Here is a 16,160-nt window from a genome sequence, read left to right as displayed (position 1 = left end):
GTTCTGTTGAACGAGATCCTATCTCAAAAAACAAAAACAAACCTTGGAAGGACTGGCTTTTGGGGCTCTGAGGACTATGAGGAAGGATCAGTGTTTCTGGCCACCTACAGGTCTTGAGCCTGTGCAGGATGCGACTGGCTTTTATCGCAATTCCAGCTGATATTGAAGGGTGTGCCACAGCAGATGGAGTGACAGAAAAACAAAGAATTTAGGAAAACACACACAGACATACACACACACACACACAGAGACACACAGAAACACAGACATACGCAGGCACACAGGCACACCCATACACACATAGACACAGACACACACACACATACACAGACACACAGACATATACACAGACACACACAGACATATACACAGACACACACAGACATGAACACAGACACACACACACAGACACAGAGACACACACATTCACACACACACAGAGACAGACACACACAGACACACACACTCCCACACATAGACTCACACACACAGACACACACAGGGGAAGGGTTTCATCTTAGGATGAGTCAAGGCTTGTCCAGGAGCTCACACTCCACAAGCGCAGAAGGCCCCTGAGCTGAGACCCAGTCCAAGCTCGGTGCGTGGGTCTTTTGTGGGGCGCGAGGCCCTGGGAGTCCACTGCGGAATTTTGCTCATTAATTTGCTTTCCCTCCTCACTCAATTTCTAAGTCAGCTTAGCAAACCTGGAGTTTAAATTGCAAAAGCCCCAAGGGTTCAACTCTGACCTTTGGCAGGGACGGGATTTACCCTGAAGCCCATGGGCCCTTCTCCTGAGCCGGCCCTTCCAGAGGCCAGGAATTCCGGGTGGAGCTAGGTTTTGTGACCCCTGAGCCTAATAGAATGGAGGTGGGGAGCTCTTTAGAAAAAGGATGCCAGGCCAGATGCAGTGGCCCACGCCTGTAATCCCAACACTTTGGGAGGCCGAGGCAGCCAGATCACCTGAGGTCGGGAGTTCGGGACCAGCATGGCCAACATGGAGAAACCCTGTCTCTACTAAAAATACAAAATTAGCCAGGTGTGGTGGCGCATGCCTGTTAATCCCAGCTACTCGGGAAGCTGAGGCAGGAGAAACGCTTGAACCCAAGAGATGGAGGTTGTGGTGAGCTGAGATCGCACCATTGCACTCCAGCCTGGGCAACAAGAGCAAAACTCCATCTCAAAAAAAAAAAAAAGAATTTTAGGGGGACACAGAGATTCAGTCCATAGAGGTGTGACAACACATACGAAATATTGCAACCAGAGATGCTCAGCCAAGCCCTAATGTCCCAAGTCTTATTAGGGGTCAGTCATAGAGGCATGTGGCACCCACGTGACTGACCTTAACTATTTCATCTCCAGCCCTAGCTTAAGGCAGACTGATACAGCCTGGCCCAGGGCCCCAGGCGAAAAAAAACAGGCATTCGCCATAAATCACATTGCTGGCATAAACTGTCTCAGGTGGCCCAAGGCCCCAGGTGAAAAAAACACTCCTGTTAGGCAGGATATTCCAAGGGCGCAGAGCTTATCTCCCAGGGGCCAGGCAAGGGCCAGTCCTCTCTTTGGAATGTGCAGGGTTTGGGCAGCCCAGGCCTGTTGAGTTAACCCCTTACTCCACAGGGCCCCTGCTGTATACATGGCATTACACAGAGTTAGATTCCAAAGCAGGAGGCAAAAATCACGTGGAATCAGTGACCCTCGAAAAATCCCTCTGGAAGATGCTATTTTGGAGTCCTCATCTCTCAGGAAGTCCGGCACAGCTGGGCTTCCCTCCAGGGCTGCAGCTGGCTCGCACTGAGGCTGCACTATGTGGAAAACGTGGTCTGCAAATCCTCCACTGGCAGTCAGCTGTGACACGCTGGCCCTGGGGTCATGCTAGGGAGCTGCATCCCAGAGGGGCCTCTCCTGCCCACTCCAGGAGGCCCATTGAGGGACCTGCCTCCAACAGGAGCTCAGCAATATGTAAATGATTCTTTCTCCTTTTTCCACCAGCTACATTTAATACAATCTGCAAAAGCTAAATGTGTATTTGATTCAACTCCCTTCCGGGGAATGAGTCTTCTTCTTGGGGTGAAGTCAAGAATAATGATCACAGTGAATACTCAGTGGGTGCTTGCTTTGTGACGGGGACATTTCTCAGCGTTCTGTGGGTTAGCCCATCAAATCCTCACACCCTGCCTCTGAGATAGGGTAATCTATTATATGCATTTTGCGATGAGGAGACTGAGACATGAAGACCTTAAATAATGTGCCCAGGCCAGGTGTGGTGGCTCACACCTGTAATCCCAGCACTATGGGAGGCCAAGGCAGGAGGGTCACTTGAACCTAGGAGTTCAAGATCAGCCTGGGCAACATGCTGAGACTCCTTGTCTACAAAAAAAAAAAAAAAAAAAAAAAAATTAGCTGACCGCAGTGGGAGTCTACAAAAAAAAAAATTAGCTGACCGTGGTGGTGTGCCCCTATATTTCCAGCTACTTGGGAAGCTGAGGTGGGAGAATCACTTGAGCCCAGGAGGTCAAGGCTGCAGTGAGCTATGATGATGCTGCTGCACTCTAGCCTGGGCGACAGAGCAAAACCCTGTCTCAAAAAAAAAGTAAATAAATAAATAATGTGCCCAAGGTCCCACAGCTAGTTGGTGGAAGGGGCCACAGTTTTAACCTAGGCAGTCCGGCTCTGGACTCTGCCTCTTAACCGCTATCTTCTTTTGTCTCTGAAAGGCAAATTAGTGTAATTATTGTAAACCCGAAAGCTAAGAAGGAGATGTGAATGCATTCCTGCAGGACGCTGTCACCAGCTACTAGCTGTGCATACAGACTCAAGCAGAAATGGAATTGGCTCAAAAACAAATGTTACAGCCAGAACAGGAGCTGGGAAAAAGTGACTGAAAAATGGCCCGGCGCGGTGGCTCACACCTGTAATCCCAGCACTTTGGGAGGCTGAGGTGGGAGGATCACCTGAGGTCAGGAGTTTGATACCAGCCTGGCCAACATGGTGAAACCCTGTCTCTACTAAAAATACAAAAATTAGCTGGGCGTGGTGGCAGGCGCCTGTAATCCCAGCTACTCGGGAGGCTGAGGCACGAGAGTCACTTGAACCCAGGAGGTGGAGGTTGCAGTGAGCCCAGATCACGCCACTGCACTCCAGCCTGGGCGACAGAGTGAGACTTTGTCTCAAAAAGAAAAAAAAAAAAAGAAGAAGAAGAAAGTGACTGAAAAATTAAGGAAGTCATCCTGGCTGAACTGGAGGAAGAGGGGAATTGCCTTAGGAGAAGAGTTGGGCCCTTAGAGGTCAGGGGAGGCAGGTAGGAATGGGGGCAAGGGAAATTTTGCCATCCCACCCTCCTAAGTGCCCTGGCAGAAGGAACTAGGAGAAGGAAGCCTTCTTTTATTGTCACTGGATTGGGGAGGTGACTTGGAGATGAGAAATCTAACAGGGGTAACTAGAACACCTCCAGAGTCAGCTGGAATGGCCCACCCGGGAGATTCCAGGACAGGTGCTCCTCAAAAGCCTCCCTCCTCCTGAAGCTCTCATTGTGGGGGGGCCTCCTTTAAGGAGCTGGAGACCCCAGGAGTGGTTACAGAAAACTTGGCAGTTGTGAGAAGAGTCCAGAAAGATAATCACAGAACAGGCTGGACCCTGAATTTCACGGTGACCCTGTGATGTTAGGTGGGGAAGCAGGAGTGGTCTGAGCCCTGAGGCGATGTGCCTGGTCCATCCTAGGAGCTGGGGGTTCAGAGCCAAGCAGCACTCTGGGTGCAGTCACGACTGGCTTAGATGTTGGGCAGGGAGAAGGTGTTGGGCTGAGGATGGGGAGGGCTTTTTGGAACAACAGGTACTTTCGGCAAAATCAGACTCTAATTATTTTATCTCTCTCATTATGGGGAATCCACAAGGCAGAATCTGCAATGATCCAGGTCTATATCAGTCATGGTCCCATCAGGAGACAGAAACCATGTGTTGTGTTAACAGAGGAAATTTAATATAAAAAATTATTAACTAGGCATTGAAAAACTAAAAATGCAAAAAAGAGAACTCTAAGGGGAGAACCTTCCAGGAAGCAACACACACCCCCAGGGCTGGAGGAATGAAGAAGGGACTGGAATTATGAAAACATGGAAGGCTAGAATGCAGACCTCTAAGGAGCAGACAGGGTCAGCAGGTGCTGTGATGTCTCCAGAGGGGTTTGAAGGGGCTGGTGTGCCTGCTGGAAAAACTGCAAACTGGATCCAGCAGCTACTGCAGGAAGGAACTGCCGCTGCCACAGTGAAGAAGCTGTGTGAGGGTGATGCCCACAGGAAGCAGACCGAAAGGAGCAAGAACCTTCGTCTTGTTCTAGCCTCAAAGCTGCTCTTTCTTTCTTTCTTTTCTTTCTTTCTTTTCTTTCTTTCTTTTTTCTTTCTTTCTTTCTTTCTTTCTTTCTTTCTTTCTTTCTTCTTTCTTTTTTTTTGAGACAGAGTTTCGCTCTTGTTGCTCAGGCTGGACTGCAATGGCACAATCTCGGCTCACCACAATCTCCACCTCCCGGGTTCAAGCGATTCTCCTGCCTCAGCCTCCCGAGTAGCTGGGATTGCAGGCATGCGCCACTATGCCCGGCTAATTTTTGTATTTTTAGTAGAGATGGGGTTTCACCATGTTGACCAGCCTGGTCTCAAACTCCTGACCTCAGGTGATTTGCCCACCTTGGTATCCTAAAGTGCTAGGATTACAGGCGTGAGCCACCATGGCCGGCCAAAGTTGCTCTTTCTAACATCCCCTATTGTCAGAGCCCAGCAGGGAAACAGCAGACAAAGCAGAAACATGGTTTGCAGAATTCCAACTCCATCATCACAACACAGAGCGTATAGAAGGCTGGGCTGGAAGCTGGAAGACAGTAACTTGATAACTGGCAAAGTCTACCCCTTTGGCTACTCTGCATTCGTGAACACCCCTCTGCATATATTTTTGGAGTTCTGTACAACAACAAAAATAACTCTGTGTCTCTACATAACAAGATGAAACTATCCTTCATACAAAGAAAGACATTCTCACTCTGTGTTAGTCTGCTCAGGCTGCCATAACAAAATGCCACAGCCCGGGTGGCTTAAACAACAGAAATTTATTTTCTCAGAGTTCTGTAGGCCAGAAGCCCAAGATCAAGGTACTACTATCAGGTTGATTTTTGGTGGGAGGAAGCCTCTTCCTGGCTCATAAACAGCCGCCTTCTCACTGTGTCCTCACGTGGCCTTTCCTCTGTGTGCACAAGGAGAGTGAGGTTGGGGGGAGATCTGAGTCTCTTCTTTTTCTTATAAGGACACCAGTCCTATAGGATTCAGGCTCACCTTATGACCTCATTTAATCTTGATCACCTCCCTAAAGACACTATCTTCAAATGTCTTCATTAAGAATTAGGGCTTCGGCATATGAATTTTGGGGAGACACAATTCAATCCATAACGCACCGTCTCCCCAAAATGAGAAGATGCGAAGTCCCAGCAGTCACTGGGTTCATCCTGGGAGATAAACACACCATCCGTCTTCAGGACGCGTTAGTTATTCCTGAGTCAGTCACCATCCCATCTGAAAATTCTGCTACCTAAAGACTAAATCAAAAAGTTAAAATTTGTAAAGCTTACATAAAATAATATAATCACATGATGTAATGATAAAATAAAATGAGGAAGAGGAGGGGAGGAAATATGCCTCACACAGCAGGAACCCCCTTTCCCCTTGGTATTGGGGCCAGTAATCCCAGTCAGTACAGTAACCCTGTCTTTTGCCTGTTGATCCAGTGGCTGAGAACCCCATCTCAACTTGTTTTTTTTTGTTGTTTGGTTTTGTTTTTTTTTTTGAGACGGAGTTTCGCTCTTGTTGCCCAGGCTGGAGTGCAATGGCACAATCTCGGCTCACTGCAACAACTGCCTCCTGGGTTCAAGCGATTCTCCTGCCTCAGCCTCCCGAGTAGCTGAGATTACAGGCATGCGCCACCACACCTGGCTAATTTTGTGTTTTTAGTAGAGACGGGGTTTCTCCATGGTGGTCAGGCTGGTCTCGAACTCCTGACCTCAGGTGATCCGCCCACCTCAGCCTCCCAAAGTGCTGGGAGTACAGGTGTGACCCACCGCGCCCAACTCATCTCAACTTTTGATTCAATAAAACAATGGTGTCCCCTGGGGGAAGCATTCTCTCCTTGGGAACTAAGATTTTCAAACCAGTGGGGTTCAAAGTTGCTGACACGGGAGAAAATAAAATCTATGAATGGGATATTAGTTTTAATGAGAGAAGCCACTCTCATTCCATCCCTTGATTCCTGGACCATGTTTTCTGGCCATGGAGAAGCAACAACAACATAAATTGGTCACTGATTCAAAGCATATCTGTCTCATGTAAGACAGAACTCCCTCCTGTCGGGGTGTCGTCTCCCAGCTGATGATGACTTACTGAATAAGTCTTCCCTGAGCTATTCCACCATTCCATGAGGCCAGCTGCTTCTGGGTGATGGAGTATTTGGTAGGACCGGAGAACCTCATGACCATAAAGCTATTGTCACATTTCTTTTGTCATGAAATGGATTCCTTGATCAGAAGCAATGTTGTACCATGATGGTGAATAAGACTCACAAAGTCCACAGATGATGATGCTGGCAGAAGCATTACGAGCAGGGATGGCAAACACATCTCCAGAGTATGAGTCTTTTCCAGTGAAAACAAATCTCCATCCCCTCCATAATAGAAAGGGTTCAAGTAATCAACCTGCTAGCAGGCTGCCTGGTGCACTGGATGCACCGTATCAGGGGCTCAGTGTCAGTCTCTGCTCTTGGCAGGCCGGGCACTCAGCAGTAGCGTTATCCAGAAGCCCTGGTGCCGAGAAGTACACATTCGCCGCTGAACCCCTGCATAACCTCCATCTCTGCCACCATGGCCACGTTGAACATGGACACAATGGGCAAGCACTGGGCTGGCTGGGGAAAGAGGATAACTGACATCCACAGAGAAATTCTCCCTCACGCTCTCATCATTGTGTCCACCTGGCTCTGAAGAGCTCCTCTGCCGGGGGTGCCCTCTGCGGGGCATCCGCATTGGAAACAAACATCTTTGCATTCTGTGCCCATTCTCAGCGCTCCACGTATTTCCTACCCACACTGCATGTCACCATCTTCCAATTCTGTTTTTCCCAAATCCCTGACCATTCAGCTAAGCCAGGGGTTAGCAAACTTTTTCTATCAAATTTATAAATGTTTTAGGCTCTGTGGACCATTTGTTCTCCGTTGCAACTATGCAACTCTGCTGTTGTCGCATGAAAGCAGCACAAAAAGCAAACACATGGGCGTGGCTGAGTGCCAAAAACACCTTTTATTTACAAAATCAGAGGGTGGCCAGACTTGACCTGTGGGCTGTGGTTTGCCAACTTCTGAGCTAAACCATTAGCAATTGCCCATGAATGACTGTAGATCCAGATCCTCTGTCAGTCCAAAGTGGGACCCCTAGAGTTCTGCTTGACTATGTCTTTCAATATCCTTCAGAGCACCCCCTGAATGAGGCTGTCACATGGCAGGCACCCACTTCCAGTCAATGCCAGGATATTATGCAAAATCACCTATAAACTAAACCCAACAAGTGTTCTCAATCACACATCCCTAAGGCCATAGGTGGGGATCAGCGGTGTCAAAGGAGTCTGAGCCACCTGCTCCTGCAACTTACCTGTGCCTCTGCACATTCCCACTTGAGGATAGATTCAGCCTCACCGGCTGACCTCAGGGCTTGGTGGGTCTGATAACACCCACTTTCCACTGGACACCTTGGATACTGAGGTGTTCAGGGAGATCCCACCTCCAGGACTGGGGCCCTCGTTCCCCAGCTGCCAAGACGGTTCACAGCTGAGTCACCCTCTGGCCCTGGCCCTCAGCAGCAGGGAGTTGCCTCACCCACGGATGTGACCCCACCCTGGAGGAAGCCTGCTTCCAATGGCTAGTCGATGTAGGGGTGCAATGGCTTAACTCTCTTGCCTGAATCTGGGATATGGCTGAAGAGCTAACCCAGTTCCAGAGTTCCCCGGGGAATTAGCTAGCCCTCTGTTGCAACTTTGTCATAGTTCAACATTTCCCTCTTCACAATCCCATCTCCTTCACTCCCTTATGGGTGTTATTTCCAAGAGTACTTCCCAATAAACCCCTTGCCCACAAATCTTCACCTCCCGGTATGTTTCGTGGGAACCCAACCTTCTGAAACAGATGCTCAGGCCACATGGTCACTTGATGTCCAGTGTTCAGTCCCTACCAGGGCACAGCTATAAGCCAGAAACTGTTTCTTGTTTTTTTGTTTGTTTGTTTGTTTTTGAGATGGAGTTTTGTTCTTATTGCCCAGGCTGGGGTGCAATGGCACAATCTTGACCCACCGCAACCTCCGCCTCCCGGGTTCAAGCGATTCTCCTACCTCAGCCTCCCGAGTAGCTGGGATTACAGGCATGCGTCACCACGCCCGGATAAATTTTTTCTGTATTTTTAGTAGAGACGGGGTTTCTCTATGGTGATCAGACTGGTCTCAAACTCCCGACCTCAAGTGATCTGCCCACCTTGGCCTCCCAAAGTGCTGGGATTATAGGCATGAGCCACCATGCCCAACCCAGGAATTGTTTCTGTAAAGGAGAATACTCTGTTGCAGAAGAGGGCATGGACTTGCACGAGAACCCTGGAGGCCTGCACAGTGATCCTCTTCCTGACACTTGCCTGCAGCCCATGCTTGACAGCAGCATCCCTGTTCACAAGCACATTCTGAGCATCATCAGTCTGTGGAGTCACAAGGCCCAAAGGAAGAGCACTTGCTGTGCAGGCTGGACTGGCTGCAGAGTCTTCTCTTGATTTGGTCCCCACTCAAAACTGGCACCTATTGCATTATTATTATTGAGGGAGTGGGCTTGTTATTGAGGGAGTGAGTTTGCCCCCTCTTGCCCTTTCTCACTCACTCTTTGCCCTTATTCCATGTTATGATGCAGCAAGAAGGCCCTTGCCAGATGCTGGTCCCTTGATCTTGTACTTTCCATCCTCCAGAACCATAAGCCAATACATTTCTGATCAAATGGGTTGGAGTAAAACTCTCAAATGTGATGTATGCAAACCTCCATTATTTTTGTGGTAGGTGGTCCAGATGCAGCAACATATCCTTCACTTTGGAGGGGATATCTTGACATGCTTCAGACTATTGGTGCCCCATCAACCTCCCTGAGGTGACAGACCCCTGAATTATTATGGGGTTCATCTCCCCCATCTCATTTTCATTTGTCTTACTAATGTACATGAAAGTATCTGCTGCTTCTTGCTCCTCAGGCCCTGTCTTGGTCCATTTTGTGCTGTTAAAACAGAATACCACAGACTGGATAATTCATAATGATCAGAAGTGTATTGACTTATGATTCTGGAGGCTGGAAAGCCTGAGATCGAGGGACCAGCATCTGGCAAGGGCCTTCTTGCTGTGTCATAACATGGTGGAAGATCAAAGAGAGAGCGAGAGAGGGCAAGAAAGGGCGAACTCACTCCCTCAATAACAAACCCACTCTGCCAATAATAGCATTAGCCCATTCATGAGGGTGGGGCCCTCATGACCTAAACACCTCTTAAAGGTCTCACCTCCCAATACCATCCCAGTGGCAATTAAATTTCGACATGAGTTTTGGAGGGGATAGACATTGAGATCATAGCAGGCCCAATCAACATAATGTTTCCCAGGTAGTAGACCAGTATCATGTCCTGTGGAATGCAGAGAATAAGATCTCTGCCAACTATACTGTGGCAGAAAGTAGAAGGGTTGACGTGGCCCTGAGGCAAGACTGTGAAGGTGACAGATAAAAGCAAACTGCTTTTGGTGGTCCTTGAAAACTGCTATACAGAAAAAATACTTGGATGGGTCAAAAGCTGCATAGCAGGTGCCAGGGGTATGCTGTTTTGCTCCAGGGAAGATACTGCACCTAGAGCCGCAGCTGCAGGTGGAGTCACCACCTGGCTACGTTTACAGCAACGCACAGTCCTCCAGGACCCAGGACCCTTCCACCTTCTGCACAGATCAAACAGACATGTGAATGGGGCTGTGCTAGGAATCACCTCCCCTGCCACCCTCACGTCTTTCATGGCTGTGTAATCTCAGAGCAGCTGCCCAGGAATTCGCATTGCTCTGACTTCCTAGCTCAGAGGGAGGGGAAGCTCCAGGGTCTCCCACATGGCCCTTCTTATCTTCATGGATCTTTCTTTGCAGGTCAGAGAGCCCAAGTGGAGATTCTGCCTGTTGCCAGGAACGCCTACTCCAACTGTACATTCAGGAACTGGGGAAATATATTAGCATGGGGTAAGTTCACGGACCTGATGGGTCCACAGTGATTCAAATTTGGGCCAAAAACTCCATATATCACTGGACCACCATGAGTTGCTACTTTAACTGTGGTCTACAGTAAATAAAAGAGAAAAAGGGCCGGGCACGGTGGCTCACACCTGTAATCCCAGCACTTTGGGAGGTCAAAACAGGCAAATCACTTGAGGTCAGGAGTTTGAGACCAGCCTGGCCAACATGGTGAAACACTGTCTCTACTAAAAATACAAAAATTTGCCAGGCGTGGTGGCGGGCGCCTGTCGTCCCAGCTGCTTGGGAGGCTGAGTCAGGAGAATCACTTGAACCCAGGAGGTGGAGGTTGCAGTGAGCCAAGATCGCACCACTGCACTCCAGCGTCAGCCACAGAGTGAGACTCCGTCTCAAAAAAAAAAAAAAGGGAGAAAAAGGAGAGAGAAAGACTCCACAATACAGCAGACAGTGTAAGACTATGTATCGAAGGAAAGGAAAGGACCAATACGGGGTGGGTTGGTTGTTTGGTTTGTTTGTTTGTTTGTTTGTTTGTTTGTTTGTTTTTGAAACGGAGTTTCGCTCTTCCACCCAGGCTGGAGTGCAGTGGTGTGATCTCGGCTCACTGTAACCTCCGCCTTCTGGGTTCAAGTGATTCTCTTGCCTCAGCCTCCCAAGTAGCTGAGATTACAGGTGCCCGCCACCACGCCCGGCTAATTTTTGTATTTTTAGTAGAGACAGGGTTTCACCATGTTGGCCAAGCTGTTCTCGAACTCGTGACCTCGTGATCTGCCCACCTCGGCCTCCTGAAGTGCTGGGATTACAGGCGTGAGCCACCGCGCCTGGCCTTATATGGGTTTTTATGTTTAAAAAACTTAGCTGGGGCTGGGCATGGTGGCTCATATCTGTAATCCCAGCATTTTGGGAGGCCAAGGGAGGAGAATCACAGTTCAAGACCAGGCTGGGCAACATGGTGAAACCCCTCCTCTACAAAAAATACAAACATTAGGCAGGCATGGTGGTGCACGCTTGTGGTCTCAGCTACTTGGGAGGCTGAGGTGGGAGGATCACCTGAGCCCAGGGAGGTCCACGTTGCAGTAAGGCGGAGACTGCATCACTGAACTCCATCCTGGGCAACAGAGTAAGACCCTGACTCCAAGAAAAAGAAAAAGAAAAACAACCTAGCTGCACCCCTGGAAAAGCCTCGGTTTTCCATCTGGCTGCTACAACCACTGAGGAATTTTAAGATGCTGATGCAGGCCCCTCCCCTGCTCTCACCCCAGATCAATTCATCAGGATCCCTGGAGTGGGGTCTGAGCATCGGTAGACTCGCGATTCCAATGAGCTGCTGCGGTTGGGAACCTCAGTTGGGGAGGAATCATGGATGGAAATAAACACCGGAAGCCTGACCCACTGCTGCAGAGACGGAGTGGCAGAAAGGAGGGCTTCTGTTGCAGCTCTAAAAATAAGTCCTAGGAAATTCAAAAGCCCCTGGGAAAAGACACACAGCTGCCCCTGGCCCTCTGGGGGCACAGGCGTCTGAGGCATTGGCAGCTGCTTTGGATCAGGAATATTCCACGGTGACTCTGCAGCGGAGACACCTCGGGTCTGAGGCCCCTTGGAGGGCCCCGGGAATTCCTGAGCAGCTGCTGAGACTTCACGGCCCAGAGCTGTAAGCCTCCTGCAGATCTCGCTGAGGAAGGAGAAGCTTAGAGGGCAAAGCAGGACACCACCGGAACTGCAGAGAATCAAGCATGCAGCTCTGAGAAGGGCCTGCCGGAGGAGTGGGAAACTCATCAAAATTAAGAGCCTTTGAATAAGCAGGATGAGCACAAGGTGGGGGAGGGGCGGGGAGCCCTAGGTAAGGGCTCCAGGAATGACTTCACTGCAAATGTTAAGTGACCCAAGAAGACAACTGTCCCCCCGCTGCTCTCAGAGGAAGCTGTGAGCCTGGGTGGATACGGACGGCAGGGGACACAGTTTGCCTCTCATTGGGCAATTTCCACCAGTGGAGTTTCAATTCCTGGGTCGTGGACTCTCGTCTCCTGGTGAAGTGCAACATCATTCCTCTTGTCGCCGGTGCGTTGTGCCTGCATCTTTGCTCCAGCTAAGCCAGCTCCTCTAGGCCTCTGGCTGCCCACCGCAGTGGGCTCTGGACTGGACTCTGGACCATGCGTTGCTGGGTTTGCTGCTGTGATGATGGAGGTGCTGCTTTTGTCTGTCTGATGTTTATACTTTGTGGGTGTGGAGTGTGCTAGGAACATCTCATATGTGCCAGGAACTGGCTCTTTGGAAAAGTCAGTCCAGGTTAGAAACATAGACTGTGGCCGGGCATAGTGGCTCACGCCTATAATCCCAGCACTTTGGGAAGCCAAGGTGGGCAGATCTCTTGACTTGAGGTCAGGAGTTCGAGACCGGCCTGGCCAACATTGTGAAACCCCATCTCTACTAAAAATACAAAAATTAGCCAGGCATGGTGGTGCATGCCTGTAGTTCCAGCTATCCGGGAGGCTGAGGCACGGGAATTGCTTGAACCCTGGAGACAGAGGTTGCAGTGAGCCAAGATCACGCCACTGCACTCCAGGACTGTATCAAGTTCACTCCAAAAGTGGAGAAGAGCCATCTGGACTGCAACTGCCACCAAGGGAAGCCACACTTCAGCCAAGTGGGGCCCTCCACCTAAGGCCGAGCATGGTAAGACACTGCAGAGGAAGGGGTCTTGACTTGAATTCATCTGGGCTTTGCCTTAGAGGGAGAAAGGTATTGCATTTTTGGACTTCAATCATGGGGGCTCCTGTTTACCTTGCAGCTGTCTTATGTTGCAGGTTTTGATGTGGTTCTCAATGTTCAAACCCCACTGGGAGTTATATTACACAGTGTCGTTTGACCTAATTTAAGATAGGAAATGGAATAAGAAATGAATTTTCTTCCTAGGTGTCACACAGCTGTAGCCGTTAGGAATGTCTCTGGATGCAATGAATAGAAAATCTACATATCAGAGGCTGAAGCAATAAGAGGCAGCAGCGTGGGTATGGGCTATTCTGGGTTTGGGGAAATAGTTCAGAGATGTTATCCGGGAGCCAAGTCCACTTTTATTGGCCTTTTATTGGGAAGAAAGGAGTGTTCCTCTCATCAAGAAGTAAAGTGTTTCCCAGAAGCACCCCCTCCTCCTCACATTTCTTCACATCTCTTTGGCTAGAACCGCATCACACGGCCACCCCCAGTTGCAACAGAGACTGGGAAGGTGGAGTATCAGATGGAAATCCTATTGTCAGGACCCAGGCTGAGCATGCTGCCTCCCCACACGAAACCAGACTTCTGTTAGCAAGAAAGATACAAGATCGCCGGCCACTATGGTTATTGACATGTTGTGCTGTCATCTTCCAAAAACTGACGAGGGCCAGGTGCGGTGGCACACACCTGTAATCCCAACATCCTGGAGGCTGAGGCAAGAGGATCACTTGAGGCCAGGACTTTGAGACTAGCTTGGGCAACATAGCGAGACCCCCATCTCTACAAAAAATAAAAATAAAAATTTTAATAAAAAAAATAGCCGAGCATAGTGTCATGCACCTGTAGTCCTAGCTACTTAGGCGGCTGAGGCTGAGGAACTCCTGAGCCTGGAGTTCAAGGCTGCAGTGAGCTGATTGCTTCACAGCACTCCCTCCTAGGTGACACAGCGAGACCTAGTCTCTTTAAAAAACAACAACAAAAAATTACAAAGAATTCAACAATTTAAAAGTACAGCCCAAGGCAACCTACAGAATTGGAAGAAATATTTGCAAATCATGTATCTTATAAGAGATTAATATCCAGAATATAGAAATAACTCCTGCAACTCAACGACAACACAAAAATCCAGTTAGAAAGTGTGCAAAGGGAGCTAGGCGTGGTAGCTCACACCTGTAATCCTAGCACTTTGGGAGGCTGAAGCGAGAGGATCACCTGAGGTCAGCAGTTTGAGACAAGCCTGGCCAACATGACAAAACCCTGTCTCTACTAAAAATACAAAAAAATTAGCTGTGTGTGGTGGCAGGCGCCTGTAATCCCAATTACTTGGGAGGCTGAGGCAGGAGAATCTCCTGAACCCAGTGGGGGGAGGTTGCCATGAGCCGAGATCATGCCACTTCACTCCAGCCTGGGCTAAAGAGCGAAGCTCCATAAAAAAAAAAAAAAAAAGAAAGAAAGTGTGCAAAGGACTTAAATAAAAATTTATCCTGGCTGGGCACAGCCAGGCACAACTACTCAGAAGGCCGAAGCAAAAGAATCACTTGAACCCTGGAGGCAGAGGTTGCAGTGAGCCAAGACTGTGTCACTGCACTCCAGCCTGGGCAACAGAGCAAGACCCTGTCTCTAAAAAAAAGAGAGAGGCCAGACGCGGTGGCTCATGCCTGTAATCCCAGCACTTTGGGAGGCCAAGGCAGGTGGATCACCTGAGGTCAGGAGTTCGAGAACAGCCTGACCAACACGGTGAAACCCCATCTCTACTAAAAATATAAAAATTAGCCAGGCGTGATGGCGCATGCCTGTAATCCCAACTACTGGGGAGGCTGAGGCAGGAGAATGACTTGAACCCAGGAGGTGGAGGTTGCAGTGAGCCGAGATCAGGCCACTGCGCTCCAGCCTGGGCGGCAGAGAGAGACTCTGTCTCAAAAAAAAAAAAAAAAAAAAGAATTAGGGACAGTGTCAAGTCCGTCCATTCTGGCCACAGTGTCCAACTTCAGGGACAGTAGGTGGCTTTTGGGGCACAGAGCCAGAGGCTGCAGTGGGGCCAGGCGTGGCACCCAGTGTTCAATGGTGGCAGCGGCCGATCGCTCCCGTGGCCTGACTTTGCCTCGGGTTCTGGGAGCTGCACCCTGTTTCTGTGGTTCTCCAGCCTTCCTGGTACCTCCTGAATCCCTTCCAGCCCCCATGGATAAAGTTAAGTGCCTCCCTCTCATGTGCTCCCTGGAACCACCTCCCTCGCGGCCTCATCAGCTAAGGTCTTTGTCCCCACACCACATGAGCACCCACTGAGGGCAGGGACAAAGCTTCATCTTGTCCACTTCTCTATCCCTGGGCCCAGCTCCAGCCTTACATGTAGAGAAAGTTCTCGTTGTGAGTGAATGCATGGCTCTTTGGAAACAGAAACAGAACCAGGAAAGGATTGACCCAAAGTCCGCTGCAGAGATTGAGCTCCCCCAGCCCCAACAGGGCCCCCCGCTACAGAGGCCTGGGGAACAACCCCAGAAGGGAAATCAGGAACCAGCCCGGGAATGGAATGTCCTAGATCTACCTGAGATCAGGACCCTCCTCCCCTTCCCAGCATGCAGTGACCTGCAAGAGTCACACAGGAGGGAGTCCTGGGACCATTCTCCCTCCTAGAAAAAAACCCTAAAAGACAAAGCTGTAGCAACTGCCTTAGAAGGACAGGCTGAGTGGCCGGGCGCGGTGGCTCATGCCTGTAATCCCAGCACTTTGGGAGGCCGAGGCAGGCAGATCACCTGAGGTCGGGAGTTCAAGACCAGCCTGACCAACATGGAGAAACCCCGTCTCTACTAAAAATACAAAAATTAGCTGGGCGTGGTAGCAGGTGCCTGTAATCCCAGCTATTTGGGAGGCTGAGGCAGGAGAATCGCTTGAACCTGGGAGGCGGAGGTTGCAGTGAGGGGAGATCACAGCACTGCACTCTCCAGAGCCTGGGCAATAGAACGAGACTCCGTCTCAAGGAAAAAAAAAAAAAAAACAGGCTGAGCTCCCTGGCTTGTGGGGAGAGAGCAAGGGGCCTGCCCAGAGCTGAGTGATCTGGGATGATGGGTGCAAGGGAAGATGACCTCCCTGCAAATTAATGAGGCAGCTTTCTGTTCATAAACCACCTGCCATGACA

At 49.7% G+C, this 16,160-nt stretch overlaps 1 long non-coding RNA gene across 2 annotated transcripts, besides 1 other annotated feature; it reads left to right on the top strand.

Annotated features, from left to right (window-relative positions):
* Nucleotides 469-1,100: an enhancer, noted in NCBI's record as "H3K27ac-H3K4me1 hESC enhancer chr11:64174565-64175196 (GRCh37/hg19 assembly coordinates)". NCBI's record gives its function as "activates a minimal SCP1, AML or CMV promoter by ChIP-STARR-seq in naive H9 embryonic stem cells {active_cell/tissue: H9 hESC(naive)}" and the evidence as "EXISTENCE:reporter gene assay evidence [ECO:0000049][PMID:30033119]".
* On the top strand, nt 12,362-13,851 carry LINC02723 (long intergenic non-protein coding RNA 2723). Of its 2 annotated transcripts, none has more exons than XR_001748068.3 (2): nt 12,362-12,988; nt 13,494-13,851. It is a non-coding gene; the product is annotated as a long intergenic non-protein coding RNA 2723 (long non-coding RNA). The 2 variants fall into 2 exon arrangements; XR_007062719.1 differs by having other exon boundaries at nt 13,229-13,851.
* Nucleotides 13,852-16,160: the final 2,309 nt, after the last annotated feature.

Source organism: Homo sapiens, chromosome 11 (assembly GCF_000001405.40).
Source record: "Homo sapiens chromosome 11, GRCh38.p14 Primary Assembly".
NCBI lineage: Eukaryota > Metazoa > Chordata > Mammalia > Primates > Hominidae > Homo > Homo sapiens.
Note: the sequence above shows the minus strand (reverse complement) of the source record. Positions and strands in the feature narration are given on the sequence as shown.